The 25528-nt window shown below is 46.1% G+C and overlaps 1 protein-coding gene across 15 annotated transcripts in view, besides 2 other annotated features; it reads right to left on the bottom strand.

The window, feature by feature from the left end:
• EPHX2 (epoxide hydrolase 2) overlaps window positions 1-13699 on the bottom strand; it is a 57484-nt gene extending 43785 nt beyond the window's left edge. For 12 of the 15 annotated variants that reach the window (NR_182232.1, NR_182231.1, NR_182233.1 and 9 more), the window contains exons 1-3: window positions 13533-13699; window positions 3832-3916; window positions 1079-1238 (exon numbers count right to left, since the gene is read on the bottom strand). Coding sequence is in view for 12 of the 15 variants with exons in the window: in NM_001414017.1 (NP_001400946.1) it covers window positions 1079-1238; window positions 3832-3916; window positions 13533-13633 (346 nt within the window). In the remaining 3 variants the exon portion in view is untranslated. The remainder of the gene's footprint in view (window positions 1-1078; window positions 1239-3831; window positions 3917-13532) is intronic. The other 3 variants (NM_001256484.2, NM_001256482.2, NM_001256483.2) reach the window with 3 other exon arrangements.
• Window positions 13616-13895: a silencer, noted in NCBI's record as "silent region_19049". NCBI's record gives its function as "represses an Ori minimal core promoter by ATAC-STARR-seq in GM12878 lymphoblastoid cells {active_cell/tissue: GM12878}" and the evidence as "EXISTENCE:reporter gene assay evidence [ECO:0000049][PMID:35858748]".
• Window positions 15642-15956: a transcriptional cis regulatory region, noted in NCBI's record as "candidate enhancer chr8.973 targeted for multiplex CRISPR interference". NCBI's record gives its function as "positively regulates EPHX2 gene expression with high confidence in K562 cells {active_cell/tissue: K562}" and the evidence as "EXISTENCE:mutant phenotype evidence [ECO:0000015][PMID:30612741]".

Genomic DNA, 25528 nt, shown 5'->3' with positions numbered 1-25528 from the left:
ATCTCTTATGCCCAACTTTCAACTGACAAATTGGAAAAGAATCATCTTGACCCATGAACACCTCTGACACAGACACAAGCATGAGCTGGGTTCATTCAAGGCCCTCAGAAGCCTAGATGGAGAAACTACCCTCCTTCCTCCTTGACAACAGTGGAGCAGCACTTATACATTCATCAGCTCATTTTGATCTCTACCACCTCAGGGGTGGACAGGGCCAATCCTACCCTCCCAGATTCACAGATCAGCAAACAAGCTCAGACAAGTTACGAGCTGCCCAGAGCCACATGGTGAAGGTCCAGCATTCTTTCTAGTCCATGCTACTGAAAACACTGCTTGACTAAATTCCAGAATACCTGCCTTGGCAATCAGGGACTAGGTTTCTATTTCAAAACTAGAGAAGTGTACATAGAAATAGGATTATCCCCTGGCTTTATCTGCCTAACCAGCGAGGGTGAGAACTAGGCAATGCTGGAAAGAAGACACTGAAGAGTTGATGGTGAGACTCTTCCCACGCAATAGGAGGGAAGAGTTGCAGACATGGGATGGCTCAGCCACAACCAGGTAAGTCTACTGATAAGAGGGTGGAATAGTTTCAATATGCCTATGACAAGAGTCAGGTGTTCACACCAAGTCAACGCCTATGGATGAACTTGACCTCATGTCTTAGACTATGTGACATAATCTGAGCCCATGTCAGCCAACTCATAGCTTGGACACTCTGATACCCAGAGGCTAAGAAAATCACAGTTGCTAAAAAGGCCTTGTTTCTTAATCACTGTGACAAAAGATCATGTCATTTGGGTCATTACTAAAGTGCCATTGAAGGGGAGAATGATGTTCACAAGGCAGTCATGGGCATCAATTGCTTTATTAAGTAAAATCCTGCCATTTTTCCAGCTTTTCTAATAGTGCTGCTTTTGCCATTGGATAAAACTTGCTTTGGGGCCATGTTTAAAGAGGCTTTCCATCGTGGCTCAGAAGATCTGTGATCTCAAAGCTCACTTCAATGGATTCTGACCTAATGCTCCCGAGGGTTCTGGGTGGTTCGGCCTGAGATTGGCCAGTATCAGATCCTTACCTTTCTTCCTGAGCATGAGAGCTGCCTGGAGCATGGGGCGGTTGATCTTTCTGGCTGAAATCGCCTTGTCAAAGATTTCTTTTATGGAGAAATTCTTGGGGAGGCAGACTTTAGCGGTCTCGGAGCACTTCCTGCAGTTTTCTTCCATGAGTGGTATCCACTGTCAAAGTGAAGTGAGGGGACAATTTGTATGGCCACTCAGAAAAGCTCTGGCAGGGTCTACTAAATCTAAACATATACATTCCCTGTGACCAAGCAATTCCACTCCTGGACACATACCCACTGGAAATGCCAACATATGTTCTCCAAGAGACATGGCCAAAAATGTTCATAGCTATACTCTTCCTAGGAGTCCCAAACCAGAAACGACCCAAATGCCCACTAACAGCAGAATGGATAGATTGTATTATATTCACCCACAGTCATAGCAGTGCTATTCCTAAGAGCCCTGTCTTAGCCCATCTCAGCTGCTATAACAAAAGACCAGAGGCTGGGTGGCTCATAAACAGCAGAAATTTATTTCTTACAGTGCTGAAGGCTGGGAAGTCCAAGATCAAGGCTCCAGCAGATTTGGTGTCTGGTTAGGGCTTGCCTTCTATTTCACAGATGGCACCTTCTTGCTGTCTTCACATGGTAGAAGGGGCTCGATAGCTCTCTGGGATCTCTTTTATAAGTGCACTGATCTCACTCCTGAGGGTTCCACCCTCATGACCCAATTACTTCCTGAAGGCCCCACCTCTTAATAACATCACCTTGGGGGTTAGGATTTCAACATAGGGATTTTGGGCGGGGGGCACAAACACTTGGACCATAGCAAGCCCCAAACTGGAACTACCCAAATGTCCACTGTTATGGGCTAAACTGTGTCCTCCCCAAAATTCCTGTGTTGAAGTCCTAGCCCCCAGAGTCTCATGATGTGACTATATTTGGAAATCAGGCCTTTAAAGAGGTACTTAAGGTAAAATGAAGTCATTATGACGAATCTTAATCCAATATGACTGGTGCCCAAATAAGAAGAGGAGATGAGGACATAGACACACACAGGGATGACCATGTGAGGACACAGGGAGAAGACAGCCAAGAACTTGCTTTTTTTCCCCTGTCTCTCTGCTTTCTACCATGTGAGGATACAGCAAGAAGGTGGCCATCTGCAAACCAAGAAGAGAGCCCTCACCAGACACTGAACCTGCCAGTGCCTTCATCTTGGACTTCCCAGCCTCCAGAACTGTGAGCTATAAATGTCTGTTGTTTCAGTCACACAGTCTATGGCATATTTGCTGTAGGTAGCAGCTGAAGGTGCTATGTAAGACACAGCCCTAGCAAACTAATACACTCACTAATAGCAGAATGGATTGTTATATATACACATCATCATAGCAGCACTATTTGTAATAGTCCCAAACTGAAAACTACCCAGAACCCCATCAATAGAAGAATGGATAGATTGGGGTATATGAATGTGATGGAATGTCATGCAGCAATGAGAATAAAATGATCTATGGCAGCATGCAACAACGATGAGTCTCACTCATACAATGTTGAGCAAAAGATGCCAGACGCAAAAGAGCTGATGTGCACAATTCCATTTACATAAAGTCCAAAACAGGTAAAAGTGATCTATTGGGATAGAAGTTAGAATGGTAATACTCTTGGAGGGATGGTATCCAGAGCGGGGTTATGTGTTGCCTACAGCGCTGAGAATGTTTTATTTCTTGATCTGGGTGCTGGTGACAGCAGTATACTTAGTGTGTGAAAAGTCATCAAGCTGTATGCTATGTGTACTTTTCTGTCTGTATAGTATATACACATGAAAAGTTAAAAGATGACATTCACTCCCAAGATAAGACTTTTTTTTTTAAGACAAGTCAAGTGTAAATAGCCTTAGCATGATATAATTTAGTTTTCCAGGCTTCTTCCCTCTAGCCATGCCAGTTTCCTAGAAGTTACACACAGACTATCAGAAGCCACCAAAGGAGTCTGAATGAAACGCAGGATTTTCATAGCAATTACTAGAAATTCACTCTAAATTCTGTATGTTCATTGAAAATATAGGCTGGGCATGGTGGCTCATACCTGTAATCCTAGCACTTTGGAACACCAAGGTGGGTGTATCATTTGAACCCAGGAGTTCTAGACCAGTCTGGGTAACACGGTGAAACCCCATTTCTAGCAATAATAATAATAATACAAAAAACAGCTGGGCATGGTGATGTGTGCCTGTAATCCCAGCTACTTGGGAGGCTGAGGTGGGAGGATCATCTGAGCCCAGGAGGTAAAGGCTGCAGTGAGCCATGATCATGCCACTGCACTCCAGCCTAGGCAATAGAGTGAGAACCTGTCTCAGAAAAAGAAGAAAGAAGAAAGAAGAAAGAAGAAGAAGAAGAAGAAGAAGAAGAAGAAGAAGAAGAAGAAGAAGAAGAAGAAGAAGAAGAAGAAGAAAATATATAGCATTTCCCTCTTTCTTACCTTCCAACAATATTACTGAGGTTTTTTTATGGATTAAATAAAAAGTCAATAATTCAATAATGTTCTTCCCAATAGTTTCATCACAGTTTTCGTTCACCATTTGCCACAATATATTAGCAAGTATGTTTTAAGGTGACTGCAATACTCCCATTAATACCATTAAAACAACATTTGTCTTCACAGAAAAGGTGGGTGTTTTCTATTATGGTGGGCCCCAAGTTCGGGGAGATGGGCACACAGGCAGAGAACGTTCATCCAAAGGGCTCTGTGTGGTGATGTCCCCTCACCTGGGAAAGTGTGATCTCTCCTTTCATAAGCCGGGTAGTGGCACCCTCTGGTCCCCCTTTCTGGAAAGCATCATTCAGAAGTCCTCTGGAAAACACAAAGAACATCAGGAACATTCTGTGGATTTTGTCATGGCAGCACATGGAAACAGACACTGTTCATATTCATTGAGAAGCAGCCACTAGAAAGGGATACTGCCAGGAACTGGAAAATGCAAACGCAGTTCAAATTGGGATCTTTGCGCGCAAGGAGCCATCCAGCTGAGGACATGAGACCATACAGTAAATCACAGTATGTTCCACAGAGAAGCTGCCCATGGGAAACCACCTAATAGCAGCTTCACCCAGAGGCGCTTCCTACTTTACTATATAACGGTCAGAACCGAGAGTGGGCACGCGGCCATTACTGTCCTCGTGTGCACCAGGCATGGTCTCAAAGAACTTTTTCATGAGTTCACCTTCTTCAAAAAGAATGGAATATGTTTTTTGTGGTTTCGATTCTGCCTCTCTAGTTTCTATTTTATCTTAATGTCATCTTCTAACCTTTAAAAAGTTTCCTGTATTAGTCTGTTCTCACACTGCTATAAAGACGTACCTCAGATCGGGTAATTTATAAAGAAAAGAGATTTAATTGGCTCATGGTTCTGCAGGCTGTAGAGGAAGCATAGCTGGGGAGGCCTCAGGGAACTCACAATCATGGCGGAGGGTGAAGGGGAAGCAAGGCACGTGTTACATGGTTGGAGCAGGAGGAAGAGAGAGAAGAGGTAAGTGCTACACACTTTTATAAACAACTAGATCTCATGAGAACTCACTCAACATCACGAGAACAGCAAGGAGGAAATCCACCCCCATGATCCAATCACCTCCCACCAACCCCCTCCTCCAACATTAGGGATTACAACTGGACAGGAGATTTGGGTGGGGACACAAATTCAAACCATATCACTGTGTTAAGGCTGGGTTGTATACCCCCATCCCAAATACATACATTGAAGTTCTAACTTCCAATACCTCAGGATGTGACTGTATTTGGAGAGTGGGTCTTTAAGAGGTAATTGAGTTAAATAAGATCATACAGGTGGGCTCTAATCCAACAATAGGACTGGTGCCCTTATAAGGCGATTAGGACACAGACACACACAGAGAGTCAACCATGTGAGGACACAGGGAGAACACTGTTAACAAGCCAAGGAGAGAGGCCTCAGAAGGAACCAACCCTGCTGACATCTTGATCTTGGACTTCCAGCCTCCAGAGCTGTGAGAGAAAACATTTCCATTGTTGCCATCCAGTCTCTGTTTGCTGTTACAGCAGCCTCAGTAAATAAATACACTGAGTAACAGAACAAATGTATTTATGTGTACGAATGCATTTGTTCTATTACTCAGGTCTGGAAAGTAATTTTAACTGGCTTGCCAATCCCAGATGAATTCCAGTTGAAGTGGCAAGCCAGTTAAAATTACCAGCCCTGAGTAACAGAACAAATATCCCCATCCTGGGAGCTTTATTTCTGATAATAGTCAAGTATACCTTTTATCAGACACCCTCTTGCAGGTAACAGTGGTCAGCTCTGGACCAACTATATGGAGACATATACCTAATATCTGTGGCCTTGCTCAACTTTTCAATGTCAGCAATGGTTTTCCCATACCTTTGCCAACAGTTGTTGGTTTTTTAAACAGCTTTGTTAAGGTATAATTACTGCTATGGTTTGAACGTTTGTCTCCTCTGAAGCTCATGTTGAAATTTAATCCCCATTGTGGCATTAAATTAAAATTGAGAGGTGGGCCTTTAAGAAGTGATTGGGTCATGAGGGCTCCACCTTCATGGATGGATTAATTCATCCATAGGCTAATGGGTTAATGAGTTAATGGGTTATCATGGGATTGGGACTAGTGGCTTTATAAGAAGTGGAAGTGAGGCCTGAGCTAGCACACTGAGCCCCCTCACCATATGATGCCCTGTGCTACCTTGAGACTCTGCAGAGAGTCCCTACCAGCAAAAATGCCCTCACCAGATGCAACCCCTCAACCTTGGAATTATCAGCCTCCATAACTGCAAGAAATAAATTCCTTTTCTTTATAAATTACCCAGTTTCAGATATCCTGTTGTAAGCAACAGAAAATGGACTAAGACAATTACATAGCATTAAATTCATGTAGTATGACAATTCAATGATTTGCAGTAAATTTACAGTTGTGTAAGCATCACCACATTCCAATTTTAGAACATTTCCACCTCCTCCAAAAGACTCCTGGTCCCTTTCAGTATCTGCTCCTCAGTATTAAGAAGCAATGCAATATTCAACTTAACAATCCTATTGAGCATCTTAGGTATGTGAGGCATTGTGCTATGTGCTGTGATGCAAAAGTGGAAAAATATGATGCTATTCATAGGAAGCTCACAGAAGAACAAGGGAGGCAAGGTATAAACAAATAACTACAAGACACTAGGTGAGTGGGAAAACAGGGGAAAATTATTTCTTCTTCTTAGAGAATGGGAGATGATAAAAGAAGAGGAACTAGGGAAAGAATATAACTATACAGGAAGAAGATACCACTGAATCTATAAAACAAGGGCAGGTGGTCATTAAAAAAAAAAGCAACTTGATACAACAAGAACATTCTTGGTATTGGAAACATGAGCTTACCTCCATATCCTAGCCTAGCTCCAGCTCCTCTTCCTGTTAATGATAAGCCTCCTCTAATCTCCCCCACTCAGAAGGAAACAAGCAAAGAAATCTCCAAGGGACCATAAAACCCCCGGGCTATCGGTTATGTCCCCTTCAAGCTGTAGGGGGAGGGGAATTTGGCCCAACCTGGGTATATATCCCCTTCTCCCTCTCTGATTTAAAGCAGATCAAGGTAGACCTGGGGAAGTTTTCAGATGATACTGATAGGTATATAGATGTCCTACAGGGTCTAGGGCAAACCTTCGACCTCACTTAGAGAGATGTCATGCTATTGTTAGATCAAACCCTGCCCTTTAATGAAAAGAATGCGGCTTTAGCTGCAGCCTGAGAGTTTGGTATCTTAGTCAAGTAAATGGTATCTTAGTCAAGTAAATGACAGAATGACAGCCAAAGAAAGGGACAAATCCCTACCGGTCAACAAGCCGTCCCCAGTATGGATCTCCACTGGGACCTAGACTCAGATCATGGGGACTGGAGTCGCAAACATCCGTTGACCTGTCTTCCAGAAGGACTAAGGAGAATTAGGAAAAAGCCCATGAATTATTCAATGATGTCCACCATAACTCAGGAAAAGGTAGAAAATCCTACTGCCTTCCTTGAGCGGCTACAGGAGGCCTTAAGAAAATATACTCCCCTGTCACCTGACTCCCTCGAGGGTCAATTGATTCTAAAAGATAAGTTTATTACCCAATCAGCCGCAGATATCAGGAAAAAGCTCCAAAAGCTATCCCTGGGCCCTGAACAAAATTTGGAGGCATAATTAAACCTGGCAACCTTGGTGTTCTACAATAGGGACCAAGAGGAACAGGCCAAAAAGGAAAAGTGAGATAAGAGAAAGGCCGCAGCCTTAGTCATGTCCCTCACACAAACAAACCTTGGTGGTTCAGAGAAGACAGAAAACAGAGCAGGCCAATCACCCAGTAGGGCTTGTTATCAGTGTGCTTTGCAAGGACACTTTAAAAAAGATTGTCCAACAAGAAACAAGCTGCCCCCTCACCCATGTCCACTATGCCAAGGCAATCACTGGAAGGCACACTGCCCCAGAGGACAAAGGTTCTCTGGGCCAGAAGCCCCCAACCGGATGATCCAACAACAGGACTGAGGGTGCCCAGGGCAAGTGACAGCTCATGTCATCACCCTGACTGAGCCCCAGGTAAGTTTAACCATTGAGGGCCAGGAAATTGACTTCCTCCTGGACACTGGTGCAGACTTCTCAGTGTTAATCTCCTACCCCAGATGGCTGTCCTCAAGGTCTGTTACCATCCAAGGAATCCTGGGACAGCCTGTAACCAGCTATTTTTCCCACCTTCTCAGTTGTAATTGGGAGACTTTGCTCTTTTCACACACCTTTCTTGTTGTGCCTGAAAGTTCCACACCCTTATTAGGGAGGGACATATTAGCCAAAGCTAGAGATATTATCTCTATAAATATGGGGAACAAGTTACCCATTTGTTGTCCCCTACTTGAGGAGGGAATCAACCCTGAAGTCTGGGCATTGAAAGGACAATTCGGAAGGGCAAAAAATGCCTGCCCAGTCCAAATCAGGTTAAAGACCCCACCACTTTTCCTTATCAAAGGCAATATCCCTTAAGGCCTGAAGCTCATAAAGGATTACATGATATTTTTAGACATTTAAAAGTTCAAGGCTTAGTAAGAAAATGCAGCAGTCCCTGCAACACCCCAATTCCAGGAGTACAAAAACCGAACGTTCAGTGGAGACTAGTACAAGATTTTAGACTCATCAGTGAGGCAGTAATTCCTCTATATCCAGCTATACCCAACCCCTATACCCTGCTCTCTCAAATACCAGAGGAAGCAGAATGGTTCATTGTTCTGGACCTCAAGGATGCCTTCCTCTGCATTCTCCTGCACTCTGACTCCAAGGTTCTCTTTGCCTTTGAGGATCCCACAGACCACACGTCCCAACTTTCGTGGATGGTCTTGCCTCAAGGGTTTAGGGATAGCCTTCATCTGTTTGGTCAGGCACTGGCCCAAGATCTAGGCCACTTCTCAAGTACAGGCACTCTGGTCCTTCAGTATGTGGATGATTTACTTATGGTTACCAGTTCAAAAGCCTCATGCCAGCAGGCTACTCTAGCTCTCTTGAACTTTCTAGCTAATCAAGGGTACATGGCATCTAAACTGAAGGCCCAGCTCTGCCTACAAGTCAAATATCTAGGCCTAATCTTAGCCAGAGGAACCAGGGCTCTAAGCAAAGAATGAATACAGCCTATACTGGCTTGTCCTTGCCCTAAGACATTAAAACAGTTGTGGGGGTTCCTTGGGATCACCAGCTTTTGCCGACTATGGATCCCCAGATACAGCGAGATGGCCAGGCCACTCTATGCTCTAATCAAGGAGACCCAGAGGGCAAACACTAATCTAGTAGAATGGGAACCAGAGGCAGAAACAGCCTCCAAAACCTTAAAGCAGGCCCTAGTACAAGCTCCAGCTTTAAGCCTTCCCAAAGGACAAGACTTCTCTTTATACATCACAGAGAGAGCAGGAATAGCTCTTGGAGTCCTTACTCAGACTCGTGGGACAACCCCACAACCAGTGGCATACCTAAGTAAGGAAACTGATGTAGTGGCAAAAGGCTGGCCTTACTGTTTATGGGTAGTTGCAGCAGTGGCCATCTTAGTATCGGAGGCTATCAAAATAATACAAAGAAAGGATCTCACTGTCTGGACTACTAATGATGTAAATGGCATACTAGGTGCCAAAGGAAATTTATGGCTGTCAGACAACTGCCTGCTTAGATACCAGGCGCTTGTGTGTGGCCCTGAACCCTGCCACTTTTCTCTCAGAGGATGGGGAACCAATCGAGCATGAATGCCAACAAATTGTAGCCCAGACTTATGCTGCCCGAGATGATCTCTTAGAAGTCCCCTTAGCTAATCCTGACCTTAACCTATATACCAATGGAAGTTCATTTGTGGAGAATGGGATATGAAGGGCAGGTTATACCATAGTTAGTGATGTAACAGTACTTGAAAGTAAGCCTCTTTCCCCAGGGACCTGCACCCAGTTAGCAGAACTAGTGGTGCTTACCTGAGCCTTAGAACTGGGAAAGAAAAAAAAATAAATGTGTATACAGATAACAAGTATGCTTATCTAATCCTACATGCCCAATGCTGCAATATGGAAAGGGGGTTCCTAACCTCCAGGGGAACCCCCATTAAATACCACAAGGAAATCATGGAGTTATTGCACGCAGTGCAAAAACCCAAAGAGGTGGCAGTCTTACACTGCCAAAGCCATCAAAAGGTGAAGGAGAAAAGGCAGAAGAAAACCATTAGGCAGACACTGAGGCCAAAATTGCTGCCAGGTGGAACCTCCCATTAGAAATACCTACGGAAGGACCCTTGGTATGGAACAACCCTCTCCAAGAGATTAAGCCCCAGTATTCCCCAACCGAAACAGAATGAGGACTTTCATGGGGGCATAGTTTTCTCCCCTCCAGGTGGTTAACAACAGAAGAGGGAAAGGTACTCATGCCCGAAGCCAGCCAGTGGAAAATACTTAAGACCCTCCACCAAACTTTTCATATGGGTATTGAGAACACTCATCAAATGGCCAAATCCCTATTTACAGGGCCAAATCTCCTTCAGACCATCCAACAAGTAGTCAAAGCCTGTGAGGTGTGCCAAAGGAATAATCCCTTGGTCCATCATAAGGCCCCTCTGGGGGAACAAAGAATAGGGCACTATCTAGGAGAAGACTGGCAGTTAGACTTCGCCCATATGCCTAAGTCAAGGGGATTTCAATACTTGTTGGTCTGTGTTGATACCTTTGCAAATTGGATGAAGCCTTGTCCTGCAAGACAGAGAAGGCTCAAGAAGTGGTTAAAGTCCTAATTCATGAAGTAATTCCTAGATTTGGGCTTCCCCAAAGCTTACAAAGTGACAATGGTCTGGCTTTTAAAGCCATGGTAACTCAGGGAGTTTCCAGGGCACTAGAGATACAATATCACCTTCACTGTGCCTGGAGGCCACAATCCTCAGGAAAAGCCCATACAAGACCTTGTGACCACGAATACCGAATACCATCTTAACTTTCCAAGCCCTTTTATGCATCCAACACAACCTGTTATCAGGCCTGCCCCTGGGGCACCTACTATCCCATCAGTGTAATTACACCCTATAACTTCAAGCCCCAACTGATCATAGTAACTCCTGAGTCACCCAAACACCTCCATTCAGATGGCTTGTCTGCTTCTCAGGGCCCCCCAAAATCATCACCTCCTCCCTGTTTAACAAACAGTCTGGGTTTTGTAATGGCAAACATACTCCCTGCATGACCATTCACCCCTGGACCCCCTGCAGCAGCGCCCCCACCACTAGTGTATGTCTTCTTATCCCCTCTTTCAATTACTCTCTTGGATGGTTCCTAGTAGATACAAAACGGTTTTTTCTCCAATGGGAAAATAGAGCACAGGGAGCCACTCAGTCTGCTCCCAACACCCTTTCCAGCTGCTCACCAGAGCTACCTTGGCAAGTACTCTAGGAGTGTGGGAAAATGAAAACAAACTCACACACCTTTTTAACATACACAACCAGTTTATTCTACCCAGCCAAGGCATATTCTTCTTATGTGGAACTTCAACCTATATCTGCCTCCCACCAGCTGGACAGGCACCTGCACCTTCTCCTAAGTCCCAACACTAACAATGCCACAGGAAATCAGACCCTATCAGTGCCCCTCAAAGCTCAAGTCTGTCAGCCCAGGACCATACAACTAATACCCCTACTTATAGGGCTAGGAATGCCCACTGCTACAGGAACCAGAATAGCCAGTTTAACTACTTCATTATCCTACTACCATACACTCTCAAAGGATTTCTCAGACAGTTTGCAATAAATAAATCTATCCTTACTCTACAATCCCAAATAGACTATTTGGCAACAGTGACTCTCCAAAACCGCTAAGGTCTAGACCTCCTCACTGCTGAGAAAGGAGGACTTTGCACCTTCTTAGGGGAGGAGTGTTGTTTTTAAACTAACCAGTCAGGGATAGTACAGGATGCTGCCTGGCATTTACAGGAAAAGGCTTCTGAAACCAGACAACACCTTTCAAATTCTTATACCAACCTCTGGAGTTGGGTGACTTGGCTTCTCCCCTTTCTAGGTCCCGTGACAGCCATCTTGCTATTACTCACCTTCAGTCCCTGTATTTTTAACCTCCTCCTCAAATTTGTTTCCTCCAGGATCAAGGCCATCAAGCTACAGATGGTCTTACAAATGGAACCCCAAATGAGCTTAACTCACAACTTCTACCGAGGACTGCTAGACTGACCCACTGGCCCTTTGACTGGCCTAGAGAGTTCCCCTCTGGAGGACACTACAACGGCAGGGCCCCTTCTTTGCCCCTATCCAGCAGGAAGTAGCTAGAGTGGTCATCACCCAGTTCCCAGTAGCAGGTGGGGTGTCCTGTTATGAGGGAGGATTGAGAGGTGAGGCCAGCTGGACTTCCTAGGTCGAGTGGGGACTTGGGGAACTTTCCTGTCTTACAAGAGAATTGTAAAATGCACCAATCAGCGCTCTGTAAAACGCACAATCAGCAGCATTCTAAAAGTAGCCAATCACGGGGAGGATTGAAAAAAGGGCACTCTGATAGGACAGAAATGGAACATGGGAGAGGACAATAAGGGAATAAAAGCTGGCCACCCCAGCCAGTAGCGGCAACCTGCTGGGGTCCCCTTCCATGCTGTGGAAGCTTTGTGCTTTCGCTGTTCACGATAAACCTTGCTATCACTCACTCTTTGGGTCTGCGCCATCTTTACGAGTGTAACACTCACTGCGAAGGTCCACAGCTCCATTCTTGAAGTCAGCAAGACCACGAACCCACCGACAGGAACCAACTCTGGACACAACTATAGCCTCCAACTCCTGGGCTCAGGCAATCCTTCTGCCTTAGCCTCCCAAGTAGCTGGGGCTACATGCATGCACTAATGTCTAGCTAATTTTATTTTTATTTTTGGAGAGACAGGGTCTTGCTCTTTCACCCAGGCTGGTCTTGAACTCTCAGCCTCAAGTGATCCTCCCACCTTAGCTTCCCAAAGCACAGAGATTACATGCCTTTCCCTCAAGCTACTTGCCATCTCATCTTCCTTACTATATTAAAAGCAAAGGCTCCGGACATGGACTACTGGGGTTGGATTTCTGGCTCTGCTCTTTAACAGCTATGTGATTTGGACAGCTGGTTTCTTTCTGTGCCTCAGTTTCCTCATATGTAAAAGGAGGATATGAACAATGGCTTCCATGCCTGGCCTTCTTTTTCACTTTATAAATAAGTATACTTCTCTCCTTTCTGAATGTGGGAATAATACATTGTTTATAAATTTAGAAGTTGGAAACTACAAAAAAAAAAAACACAAAAAAAAGAGAGAGAGAAAGAAAATCATTACATTATTCCTAATCTCATTTGATGTACTTTGGCCTATTTCTTTCAGGCACTTTTCTGCATGTACCTTTTTTCCATAGCTGAAACCATATTGTATAAATAGCTTCAGATTCTGGTGGGGTGGTTTTTTCATGTAGTAGAACAGGTGTTTTCCCAAGTCCCTGAGCTCTCACTCTGCACACCCCATCTACCATTTCCCAGTGATGTGGCTTTGGGCGGTTGCTGCAGTTTGCTATTACACAAGTAAGCATGCAACCCACACCTGGGGAGAGAACTTTCTTCTCTCCTGAATCTCGGCTCGCATCTTTAAGCGCCACCCCATTAGACAGGAGGCAGCAGAAGCACAAAGCTCCATGAGTAACTCCTCTCCCTTTTGGAAAAGTTCACAGAAAGCAATTTTGGAGACCTTGGCAACGTTTAATTATGAACATTTAGAAAGACAACGGATCTCCTCATATGCACTGGGACTTCAGGGCCAGGTCTTCAGTTTCATGATTCGCATGATTCGCAGGGCTCCGGCACAGGAGCAATCTGAAAGCTGGGCTGCAAGCCCAGCGCGGTCTGCCTCCTGAGGCCCCGACCCACTGCGGCGGCGGCGCTGGGCCCCCTTACCTGGGCAGCGCCAGGGCCTCCTCCGTGCGGCCGAGGACGCCGAACACCGCTGGCAGCGCCAGCACCCCGTCAAGGTCGAAGACGGCCGCGCGCAGCGTCATGGCGGCGGGTCTGCAGCCTAGCACCCGGACACGCAGCTAACCTGGGAGATGCGCGAAGGCCAGGGCGCATGACCCGCCCAGCTTGGCCCGGCTCTGCCCCGCCCCTGCCCTGGCCCCGCCTCCTCCCCACACCCCCTTAACGGGACTCCGCCCTCTGCCCGGGTTAAGGCTGGACTCTGGCCGGGAAAGAGGCAGGGGGAGGGGCACAGGAAAGGGAGTCAGAGGGAGAGGAAGAGGAGGCCGGGAAGGCGGGGACCCCAGGCTAGAATCTCGCCTCTGGATGTAACGCTTTCTACTGTCTCAAAGGAAAGTCCAAAGTCTCTTATGCCCCCTCCCCACGCCCCTGCAGTAGCTGCTTGAAGAGGCAAACCCAGGCCCGGGCCTTCCTGGACGGACTGACAGCTCCCTGCGAACTTGCTGGACTTGGAATGCCTGGGAAAGAGGCCACAGACTCTGTGTGTGTGTGTGTGTGTGTGTGTGTGTGTGTGTGTGTGTGTGTGTGTGTGTGTCAGCACATCCAGTGACTTCTACATTCAGAACATAAGACCGTGTTGGGGGGCGGGGGAGGGGCATATCCAGTGACTTTTCTAGATTCAGAACGAAGGATCACAGATCCCTCACTATCCTGACCACTCCTCTAGGCACGCTCTTCTTTGCCAAGGCAAATGTGTTTCTAGAATAAAATATGATGTTCCAGCTATCGTGTGCCAGCCCAGAATACTTCGATTTCAATCTCTTGTGGAATGAAGCTTAGAAGAACTAAATGTAGGCTATTATTTTCCTTTTGTACATGCTACTTGTAATAATTCTGTCTTAAAATGTGCGAGGTTTGTTTTTAATCACCGATTTCCACACTATTGGCTCGTTTATGTTCCTAGAAAAACTAAAACTTTGGCTGGGAGTTCTTGAGCTGTTGTAGTGCAGCTCCATGAATTAAAAACCGTGTCTTTGGTGGAGACCAAACAGAGTGAGTGAGGTCTCCAACAGTGGAGAATTTACTCTTGAATGTGTCTCTGTGGATTTATCCAAGATACCCTCCACCACGGAGCTTCAAGAACCTTGTGAGGGGTTGTCAGATACCTCACTGTAACTGGGAGGTCTACAACAGTCTCTGGATCTAGCAATCAACAACAGGATTGACCAGAGCCGTGGGTTTCCTCTGGGCTGTTTGCCCTTAGCAAGCTATGCTGTTGCTTCCTTCTCTAGCTTGGTAACCTCTTCCAGGCTCCTGCCTGGAGCAGTTATTAGTGTTTTCTGAGATTCTTGCCAAAGAAGCAGAGAGTGGCCAACACTGCCAAATGTTACAGGAAGAACTGAAAAAAAAGCTGTCCAATTTTGGACTTGGATGACACCGGATGTTTCAGAACACTTTTTGTGGGCCCTTTATGGTAGAAACTGGATTACTCTGGATTTGAAGACTGAAAGATAGGCAGAGAAGGGAGTACAGCAAGCTAGTTTCTCATGAAGTTAGTTGATCTCAAAGGTATAATTGAATTTTAAAAAATAGAAAGAAAATTGCAGCCTGACCTATATAGTATGAAACCTGTTAAATCTCCAGATTGGGCATGGTGGCACACACCTGTAATCCCAGCACTTTGGGGCTGAGGTGGGAGAATTGCTTGAGGCCAGGAGTTTGAGACAAGCCTGGGCAACAAAGCAAGACATTCTCTCTATAAAAAATAAAAATAAAATATTAGCTAGGCATGGTGGTGCATGCCAGTAGTCTCTGCTATTCAGGAGGCTGAGGTGGGACGATCACTTTAGCCCAGGAAGTGGAGGCTGCAGTGAGCCATGATTGTGCCACTGCACTCCATCCAGCCTGGGTGACACAGCAAGACTCTACCTCCAAAAAAAAAAAAGAAAGAAATTAAATCTCCAACTTAGAGTTTCCTTTGGGCTCCAGACTTGCCAACTTCTTACTCAACATCTTACTCAACGTCAATATCCAACTTCTTACTGAACATCTTCTCTTGAGTGTCTAACAGGCATCTCAAATTTATCATGGCTAAAACAGAACTCTCTCTGCATTTCTACTTCCCACGCCTGTTCCTCCTAGTGTGTTCCCTATCTTACAAACTGGCATCCCCATTGACTCAGTGGCTCAGTCCCGAGACCACGGAGTTGCTTCCAGATCCTTGGCTCCCAGCCAAACCATATGTTCGTGTTTCTAGCGGTGGCCTGCTGATTGAGGCAGAGATAGCAGCTTCTAGTTCTATGGTGGTGTTTTCTGGGAGTCCTTCCTAAAGGCTCAGTCTGGAGCTCACTCCTCCATTCCGTTCAAAGATTGTGTAGGCTTGCAGTCTCTCATCTTAAATCCCTTTCTTCTGTTTCTATTTAAAATAACTACAGTGATTTCTGTTGCCTGCATCTGAATTCTGCATCTAGCACAGTATTGCTTATGAATACGTAAGTATATTTATACAAGCAGTAAAGTGTAGAGGAACGACATACCTACAGAACTAGATTTCATAAAGCCCCCTTTTGAGAAGAAAAATTTAAAAACATAGAAATATGAGTTTTACTTTCCTCTTTGGTTAAGAGAAAGCCATGAAGCTATCACATGGACTTTTATTTATTCAGGAGCAGTTAACTTGTAAATAGCTCTGGTGTGGAATATTTTTATAATGCCTTGTGAGTTACAGAGCTTTCTGGCTGAATTGCTTAGGCAAAGATTAAAGGTCTCAATTGCATTTCACTGCACTTTGCCCTTTTTCATGGTCGTGCTTCTCCTGTGTTTTCTGCTACTAAGGTACAGAGAGATAAGGGCTTACCCAGCAGGGCTATGGGAACTGGGTGGCTTTTTGAAATGTAAATCCTAACCCCTATGTCTTCTAATTTTAATATTTATGAAATATGTTTTAGGTGATAGCATGAATCATAAAAGATGGCTAATGTAGTAGTGAAAATTTATAAATTACACCTGATTTCAATCACTAAATTCATAATGAATGTACACTGACCTCATTAAGGTTTATTTTGGGTTTTCTGCCATTCCTGTGCCTTCTGCAACTTCCTGCTAGTCCTTGATTGTCAAACCCTATTTTATAAAATCTGTTTAACCACTAGGGGTTGGGAGGGAGGACTTTACACTGCTGCTTCTCTCTACTGTAGATACTCATGGAGTTCAAAGTAAAGCTACCTCTGGCAGTTTTCTAAACCTACAAACCACTTGAAGTTTTGTCTTTTTTTCAATGCGGCAAATGAACGAGCGTCTTTCATTCCATCAGCAAATATGTATCAAGCATCTTCTATGTGCCAGGCACTGTTCTAGGCACTTGGGATCAATTGTTAAATAAATCAGACAAATATAGGGGCCGTCAAGGATCTTCCATTTTAGTGGAATAATGAATTCAAATGGTAGTGGCTGGTGGCTTCTGGAGCAGTGAGAAGAATGAGATTGGGAATAGTGGTGGTGGCTACTTGCCGTTTTTCTTATTTGTCATTTTCCAGCTTCCTAACATCTATAACCTTTTCTTACATACAGAAAATTCCAGCCGGGCATGGTGGCTCACACCTGTAATCACAGCACTTTGGGAGGCTGAGGTGGGTGGATCACCTGAGGTTAAGAGTTGGAGACCAGCCTGGCCAACATGGGGAAACCCCGTCTCTATTAAAAATACGAAACTTATCTGGGCGTGGTGGCACACACCTGTAATCCCAGCTACTTGGGAAGCTGAAGCAGGAGAATTGCTTGAACCCGGGAGGCAGAGGTTGCAGTAAGCCAAGATCATGCCACTGCACTCGCAGCCTGGGCAACAGAGCAAGACTCTGTCAAAAGAAAGAAAAGAAAAGAGAAGAGAAGAGAAGAGAAAAGAGAAGAGAAGAGAAGAGAAGAGAAGAGAAGAGAAGAGTAGAGTAGAGAAGAAGAGAAAATTCCATCTGGCAGTGATGAAGTTCTGCTTCAGAGATACACAACATCCTTTCAACATCTTCTATTTTGATAGTTCTCACTGTTTGAGAACTACTACTGTTTTGAGTTCTACCTTCTCACAGTAGAATCCACAAACAACATGTTGCCCAGGCTTCCTTAATGCTGGCCAGGTGCACGGGCTCTGCCAATTGGGCATACTCGCCAGGGATTTGGGAATGGGGATGGGCAGCCCAAAGCCACAGCTGTGTGAGCGGGAACTTTCTTTCAGCGAAGGCAGAAGCAGCAGCATCTAGTTTTTCTGGGGAGGCTGTGATGGAGCTTCTCTGGTCTGGTCCTGAGTGTACTTGGTGCCCACGCTGGGGCAGAGTGGTGGCTTTGTTAAAATTGCACCAAGGGGTGGCCTGCGGTCACTGTGCTGTTCTTGGCTATATAGTTTCCAAAGCTGCATCTCTTGTCCTCCCTGAGATTCTGTGTGTTAATGTCCTATAATAAGAACCTTTCTGCTTATATGACCGAGAGGAAGCTCTGTAGTTTGTAATAAAAACCCTATAACGCATACCGGCCTTATGAATGTTGATAGAAGGAAGAACCGCATTGACTGCAGAATTTGGAAATGCCCTGTGCCCACTCCCCAGCCTGCCTGGAAGTGAGAGTGAAGGCCTGTGAGCTCCATTCAGCAACTCAGGTGCACCAACCCAGCCCTTACAGTGGGAGCAGGTGAAGGAAACAGGCCAGAGGAGAAGGGTGTCGGTCGGCAGTTTCAAGGGCAGCAGCAGCAGCGGCCAGGGTCCCTGGCTGGCAGGGACGGTGCAGGCCCCGAGGCCCTCAGCGCCCAACTGCAGCAGTGGTGTCTTCACAAGTCCAGTTCTGTGCTATGAGTTTGGCAATGACCTTGCTCTTGTTTTCCAGGCTTAGTTCTCCAAGCTCCCAAGGGCCCTCACTGATATCCTGCCCTCAAATTCTGTGCTTAAGTCAGCCAGAGTAGGCACTTCTCACTCTTCACCAACTCCAAAAACCCTTCTACTGTGCCATCTGGAACTTTCTGGAACTTGGTTTTATTATCAGCATAATTCACCATTTCCTCAACCTCTTTTCCATTCTCTTCCCCTCCTGCTGTACCCGAAACCTGGCTCTCCCCTGAGGAAACTGCTTTCTTTTTTTTCTTTTTTTTTGAGATGGGGTCTCACTCTGTTGCCCAGGCTGGAGTGCACTGGCATGATCCTAGCTCACTATTGAGAGCAGCAGGAGGCAGCCAAATGCCTGGGCAAATAGGGGCAGGTCCCTGGTGAAGCCCCACCTCCAAGCCGAAGACAGTTTAAAGCCTGAACACCAAACTACAAGTTAAATCCCCAGATCGGATGGAGAATTCGTCTTCCTGTTTGGCACACTTTCCTCAGATTGTTCCCACCCTGCACCTATTTGACATATACCTAACCTTTCCTAATTTGTTTTCTGCATTGTCATGCCCGCCTTTGAGTGGTGTCTTCACTTTAACCTTTTTTGCATACTCACAAACCAATCAGCATGCACTCCCCATCCTGAGTCCATAAAAGGCCCGGACCCAGCCACATGAGGGACTTTCCCACCTTTGGGTAGGGGGACCACCCCCGTGTCCCCTCTCTGCTGAAAGCTGTTTCGTCGCTCAATAAGAGTCTTCTCCACCCTGCTCACCCTTCCATGTCCAGCATATCTTCATTCTTTCTGGGTGCAGTACAAGAGCTTGGGAACCACCAAACATGGGTACAAGCTATAACGCAGGCAAGCTGGGGCACACCAGCTTAGCCAAGCAGGGCCTGGGTGGGGTGTTGCTGGCCAGAAGTCCTCAGCTTGCAAAGTGATTGAGAAGAAAAATCCTACATCACTGTAACCTCGAACTCCTGAACTTAAGCGATCCTCCCACCTTAGCCTCCTGAATAGCTCAGACTACAAGCATATGCCATTGTGCTTGGCTAATTTTTAAATTTTTTGTAGAGATGGGGTCTTGCTGTGTTGCTCAGGCTGGTCTCAAACTCCTGGCTTCAAGCTCCTGCCTCGGCTTCCTAAAGTGTTGGGATGACAGGTGTGAACCACCATGCCTGCCCCCACCGCACGCCTGGCCCCCACCGCACGCCTGGCCCCCACTGCAGTCTTTGCAAATGCTCAGTGTTCTCTCCCCTCCTTGCCTGTGCTGCTGGGCAAGGACAGGCAGCTGTCCTTCTTGGTCCTCATCACAGCTCCTGAATTGTCCCTGAAGACCCACTAATTCTACTGTTCTTCTCTAATCCGTTTTCTCTCCTAATCTCCTAGAAGACTATGTAAGCTCCCTTCTCTGCTTGCATCTCCAATACTCTCTCCCCTATCCTTACTCTCAGCCAATACCTTTTCTTCCTATTTCTTTGAGAAAACTGGGACAAACAGAAAACTTCCACTGGATCCCAGCCCCCTGTCAACCCCCCTACCTGCACCTAAGCAGATTCTCTGCTGCCACGATGTCCAGGCCCCACCATTCTTAGCTGAGGCCAACTTTCTACTGAGGCATTAGATTCGGTGCGCCTGTAGGCAAGAGAACAATGCCACATCTCCCACATTGTTGGTTAACTCCTCTATGGGATCATCTCATTCTCATACCAACAAAAATGACATATTTAGCCCACATTTCCCTCCAGTTACCATCGTATTTCTCTCTTTTAAAGAGAAAGTCTGTGAGAGAATTGTTCCTACTTTTTATCACTAAGCCTTCTTGGCCCATTCTCCCCTGAACTCATTGAAATCATGCTTTTGTCTTTATACCTTGCTGAAAGTCATCTTGCCGACATCCCAAAAAAACCTCTACATGGCTAAATCCAAAGGTCAATGGAAGTCCTCGTGGCACCTGACCTATCAGCAGCCTTTGGCCCAGCTGCTCCTCTCTCTTCCTTAGCAGGCCATCTTTCCTGGCTTCTGAGATCCTTTCTCGCTTGGCTTTCATCCTCTCCCCCAGGCTGCTCCTGCCTGATTTCCTTTGCAGGCTCATCATTGTCCTAATCTCTAAATAAAAAGTTGGTCCTTGGACCTCTTCCTCTTCTTATCTACAATCACCCTGTTGGTGATCTTGGCCAGTCTCTTTTTCCTAAATGAGTTCTTTTGTAGTCTTCCCCACGCGTGGCCTCTGGCTACAGTCAATTGCAGGCAGATCACGTGGGTCTCTTGTTTCCATGTCAAGAGGGCCTCAGAAAGGTGACAGCCATGGGGAGGCTGCAATGCCCCACTGCCCCACCTGTGTCAGAAATGGCAATGACCCCCCTTCTCATCCTCCTGCAATGTCTCTACATTGTTCTCTACTGAGAAAGCATAACATCGTGCACACTTTGAAGGAGAAACGCTTAAAGAGATATATTGAAAGTGCATTCAGAGGTGAGGCAACTAGTTCATAACTTCCCAGGTGGCTAAAATTCAAGCTCAAATTTCAATCCTGTGATGTGCCCAATTATTGCATCACTTAGTTCATAGCACTGACTGGAAGAAATGAGACTTCAAGAATTGGGGGGCCAGACACGGTGGCTCATGCCTGTAATCCCAGCACTTTGGGAGTCGAGGCGGGCAGATCATCTGATATCGGGAGTTTAAGACCAGCCTGACCAACGTGGTGAAACTCCATCTCTACTAAAAATACAAAATTAGCCGGATATTGTGGCGCATGCCCGTAATCCCAGTGACTCGGGAGGCTGAGGCAGGAGAATCGCTTGAACTCGGGAGGCAGAGGTTGTGCTGAGCCGAGATCGCACCATGGCACTCCAGCCTGGGCAGCAAGAGCGAAACTCCATCTCAACAGCAACAGCAACAACAACAAAATGAATTGGGAAGGTTTCCATGATAAATGCCATGGAGCCTTCCTTACCAATGAAAAATGTTTCTCTTTCTCTGCCTGATGAGCCTGTTCCTGCCTAAGCTGAAAATCCTGTCACATCCTTGCCTGAAGGATACACCACACACCCCAGGTAAACCAGTTTTCTTCATGATCCACCCCCTCCCTGCCTCTAGACTTCAACTAGAGTCAGATCCCTACATGTCCTGGCAGGTGGGGCATGGGAAAACCTGAGAAGAAACGTAAAACACACCCCAAGTCTGCAAGATTCTGCTTGTTTGTGGTCACAATCTGGTGAATATACACAGGAATAGACTCTTGAGGTCCTAGACCAAGGACAGAAAGTTGAAGTGGAGTTTGGCTGACAGGGGTGTGCTTTCTAAAGATTTGGGTTTAGTCTACAAAGTCGAACAGCTGGAGAAAGTACTCACAGTTTGCTCAACTGGTAGTCCATGCAAAGTGAAGATGAGATACCAGAAATTAGTTCAATGTAATGGAAGACTTGGAGGAACAGGAATATTGGAATGGATTTCTTAATATATGACCTGCTCGCCTTCCTCCTGATGTGGAAGGACTCATCAGAGACCTCTTTTTCCAAGACCTTGAGAGGTGCATTGGTGAGGAAGAACCATCATCTCAATTACAGGAAAGTGCAGGAAGTGGTTTGAACCTTCAGTCCGAAGGTTAGAGTTAGGGAAACTTCTCAGTGCATGGCTGTATTAGTCCATCCTCACATTGCTGTAAATACCTGAGACTGGGTAATTTATAAAGAAAAGAGTCTTAATTGGCTCACGGTTTGCAGGCTGTACAGGAAGCATGGCTGGGGAGGCCTCAGGAAACTTACGGTTATGGCAGAAAGCAAAGGGGAAGCAGGCACGTCTTCACATTGCTACAACAGAAGGAAGAAGAGAGAAGGGGGAGATTCTACACTCTCTTAAACACCAGATCCTGTGAGAACTCACTCACTATCATGAGAAGAGCAAGGGAGAAATCCACCCTTACGATCCAGTCACCTTCCACCACACCCCACCTCCAACATTGGGGATTACAATTTAACACGCGATTTAGGTGGCAACACAAATCCAAACCTATCAATGGCACATGTCCATCATCTGTCTGCTGAAGGAGGAAGCAAGAGGAAGCTGTGTAGTGCCCCCTACCTAACAAAACCATAAATGCAATTAATACAATGTCTCCAGAGGAATCCCAAGGATTAGGGCCACCAGCAAAGGCTGTAAGGATGCAGAAGTGGTAATTTTGATGATCTCCAAATGCTACCTAAGGTAGATGGGTCTCATAGAATGTCAGTGGTTCATTGTAAACTTAAGTGATTCCGATTACAGAAGCTGTTCCCAATGTGGCCCGAATGCTCATCTTCCCAGCAGTAGTGGCAAACCCTGGTCTCTGGATGTGCTGGCAGAGCCCAGAGGTTCAAATTATTCACTTGGTGGCAAGTTGATTGTAGTGAATGCCTTATATGCTTGAGAAGGCAGCAATCTGGCTTTTGTGGAATACAGTAGATGCTTATTCTGGAGAATGGCTGGAGAGGAAACCAATACATACCCACTCTAACCTCATGATCTATTACTACAATGAGCACTGTACCTGTCTGTATTTTCTTACTGGCTTTGCTAATTTATTTCATATTCTGCCCACCCCATTACTTTCTATGTGTGTATTTTGAGTGAACGTTATGATTTATTCCATAGAAAACAGAATTTCAAGGTGGCACATGTGTCAGGAATTAGAGCAGGAGGCTGGACTTGGAGCTGGATGGTCACTGGTGAGACTTGGGGTTCTATCCCTGTGGAGTTAGGGTGGGGTTAGGGGGAGGCTTTTTGCTTGTGTGAGGAATGGTTGCATTCTGCTAGATTCTACATTTGTATGTTTGGCATCCACTATATGCACGGCCAAACTAACAGCCAACTTTGTTACATCTCCCCTGCAATCAGCTTTTGCAGGTGCACTACAGTTATAGTACAAGCCCTCTGCCTAATCTTGACTCAGTATCCCCAACAGCACCATTTGTCTAACTCTCACACACCGAGCCAGTATTCCTCCTGCCACAAATCACCTCAGAGCTAGGTACTGGGCAATTAGAGACCATCCCTATAGCTCAGAGCCCACCAAGATTATTCCAACTATCTCATCGCAAGCTGCTTCCTTGCACTGCCCTGGTTTTCCCGGGGAAACCTCATAAAGGCTCGGGGCCAGGCTTCCCACATTGTGCCCTCCACCTCCTGACACTCCCTGGTGCTGCTCTGTGTGGCCCTGCGGGAATGTGCCACCCCTCCTGTTTCTAGGGATCTGTGAGTATAAACTCCTTCCTTTATGACAGTCACTTCTGTGTCTGCATGTCTTACCAAACCTGATTAAAACAAATTCTGGGTGAAAATTTTAGGACAATTAGATGTAAACATTTTTTTTCAAAGTGTGATGATGGAAAGTCGAGTGTGCACTGATGTTAGGAGCCAAAGAGCTAGATTTCGTGTGGCGGGGAGGGGGGTGCTTTCCAGCATTGAAACAACTTTCAAATATTTCAGGAATGTCCCCCCTCTTGAAGTGGGCAGAGCCCACCTTCCACATAGAAGCTCAAAACCCCAGATTCCTGCTTCCTTGGCCTTCCTGGCATCTGGTTTGGGAGCACATGCTTTAATCAGATGCATCTGTTTCGACCTTTGTATGCAGAGCTAGTGACACAAAGGAGCAGGGCTGGAGGAGAATTAACTGTGGCAGCGGTGGCAGCAGCAGGGATGGCTGCTTCCAGGGACAGCGGTGACAGCGGCACCCATGACGGTGCCAGGTTCACATGCAGCTCTGTAGCAGCAGGACCCACCATGCTGGCCGCGGGGCAGAGGCTTCCCTCTTCTCCCTGCTCTCCAAGCAGCCCCTCCAGATTTCTAGGTGCTTCTGTGAACCACCCGTTGTTCCTCAATAAAACCATTCTCCACTTAAAGTAATTGGTAGGTTTTTATTGCTTGCAACCAAGAATCCTGATGGATACAAGCTGTGATTTTCTTTTCTTTTCTTTCCTTTCCTTTCCTTTCTTTTCTTTTTTCTTATTTCTTCCCTCCTTCCCTTCCTTCCTTCCTTCAGTCTCCAAATGAAAAATGTATACATCTAACTTTATATATATGTAAATATGGTAAAATATTAACATTTATTAATTATGAATAGTGGAAATATGAGTGTTTATGGTTTTTTGGTATTTTATGTCTTTTAATTCTCTCAAAAGATGATTCTAGCAATCGCATGCACATGTGTACACACAATGCACGTGTGTGTTTGTGTTTATTTGTGCTAATTGACTCCTCATAGTAAACCTATGAGGCAGGAGCCATTGTTCACATCCTCTTTTTACATCTGAGGAAACTGAGGCATAGGAAGCTGAAGAGGCCTGTCCAGGATTATGCAGCTGTTCAAGAGCAGAGCTAGAAATTCAGCCTCAGCAGTCTGTGGCCGGGTCATGTCCAGGGCCTTTGCTTTTAACAAAATAAGGGAGATGAGCTAGCAAGTAGCTTGAGGGAAAGGCCGAAAGCAGAGTGTTTTTAGGGTGGAGGATGAGCTTCTTTAGGGGCTGAAGGGAAGGAACGAGTGGGGCAGAGAGGGAGGATCTGAGAAAGCCCAGGCTGTTAATAGATGGGGTGATGTCAAGATCACAGTGGGCCAGGATTCGCCATGCACAGGAGGAGACAGGAGTACTCATCTGATACTAGAGAAAAGGAGGCTTCACCGGAAAATCAAAGGCAAGGTCACCTGCAAGGAGGCTGACGGGGTGACAGAGAAGCAGCCACACCGGGTGGCCGCGCAAGTGACCGGTGGTCCTCTAGGGTGGTGGGGGGAGGGGTCTCACAGGGGAGGAGGGCAAGGAGAGAACCGTGGGCTGGCTGGCAGCTCTGTCCTTACTCCAATTTTTCCGATGCTATTTACTGACTTAGAAGGTAAATACATTCCAAGGTTCTTCAAGTTCTTTACAGCTGGGCTTGTTCCAAGGCTGGAATTTGTGAAGTGGATTCACATACAGTGAAGCTGTATTGACAGACAGACCCAGGACCCAGGACCCAGAACCTGTGGGTGCACTCAGGGGCCCCAGGCAGTGATCCTGGAGCCCAGGGGTCCAGAGAGCAGGGAAGGGAGCATCGTGGTGACTGGACAGAGCTGCATCTGTCCCCACCGGACATAGGCTGGAGAGTCACAGGCT

Source organism: Homo sapiens, chromosome 8 (assembly GCF_000001405.40).
Source record: "Homo sapiens chromosome 8, GRCh38.p14 Primary Assembly".
Lineage (NCBI taxonomy): Eukaryota > Metazoa > Chordata > Mammalia > Primates > Hominidae > Homo > Homo sapiens.
This window is presented reverse-complemented; position numbering and strand designations above follow the sequence as displayed.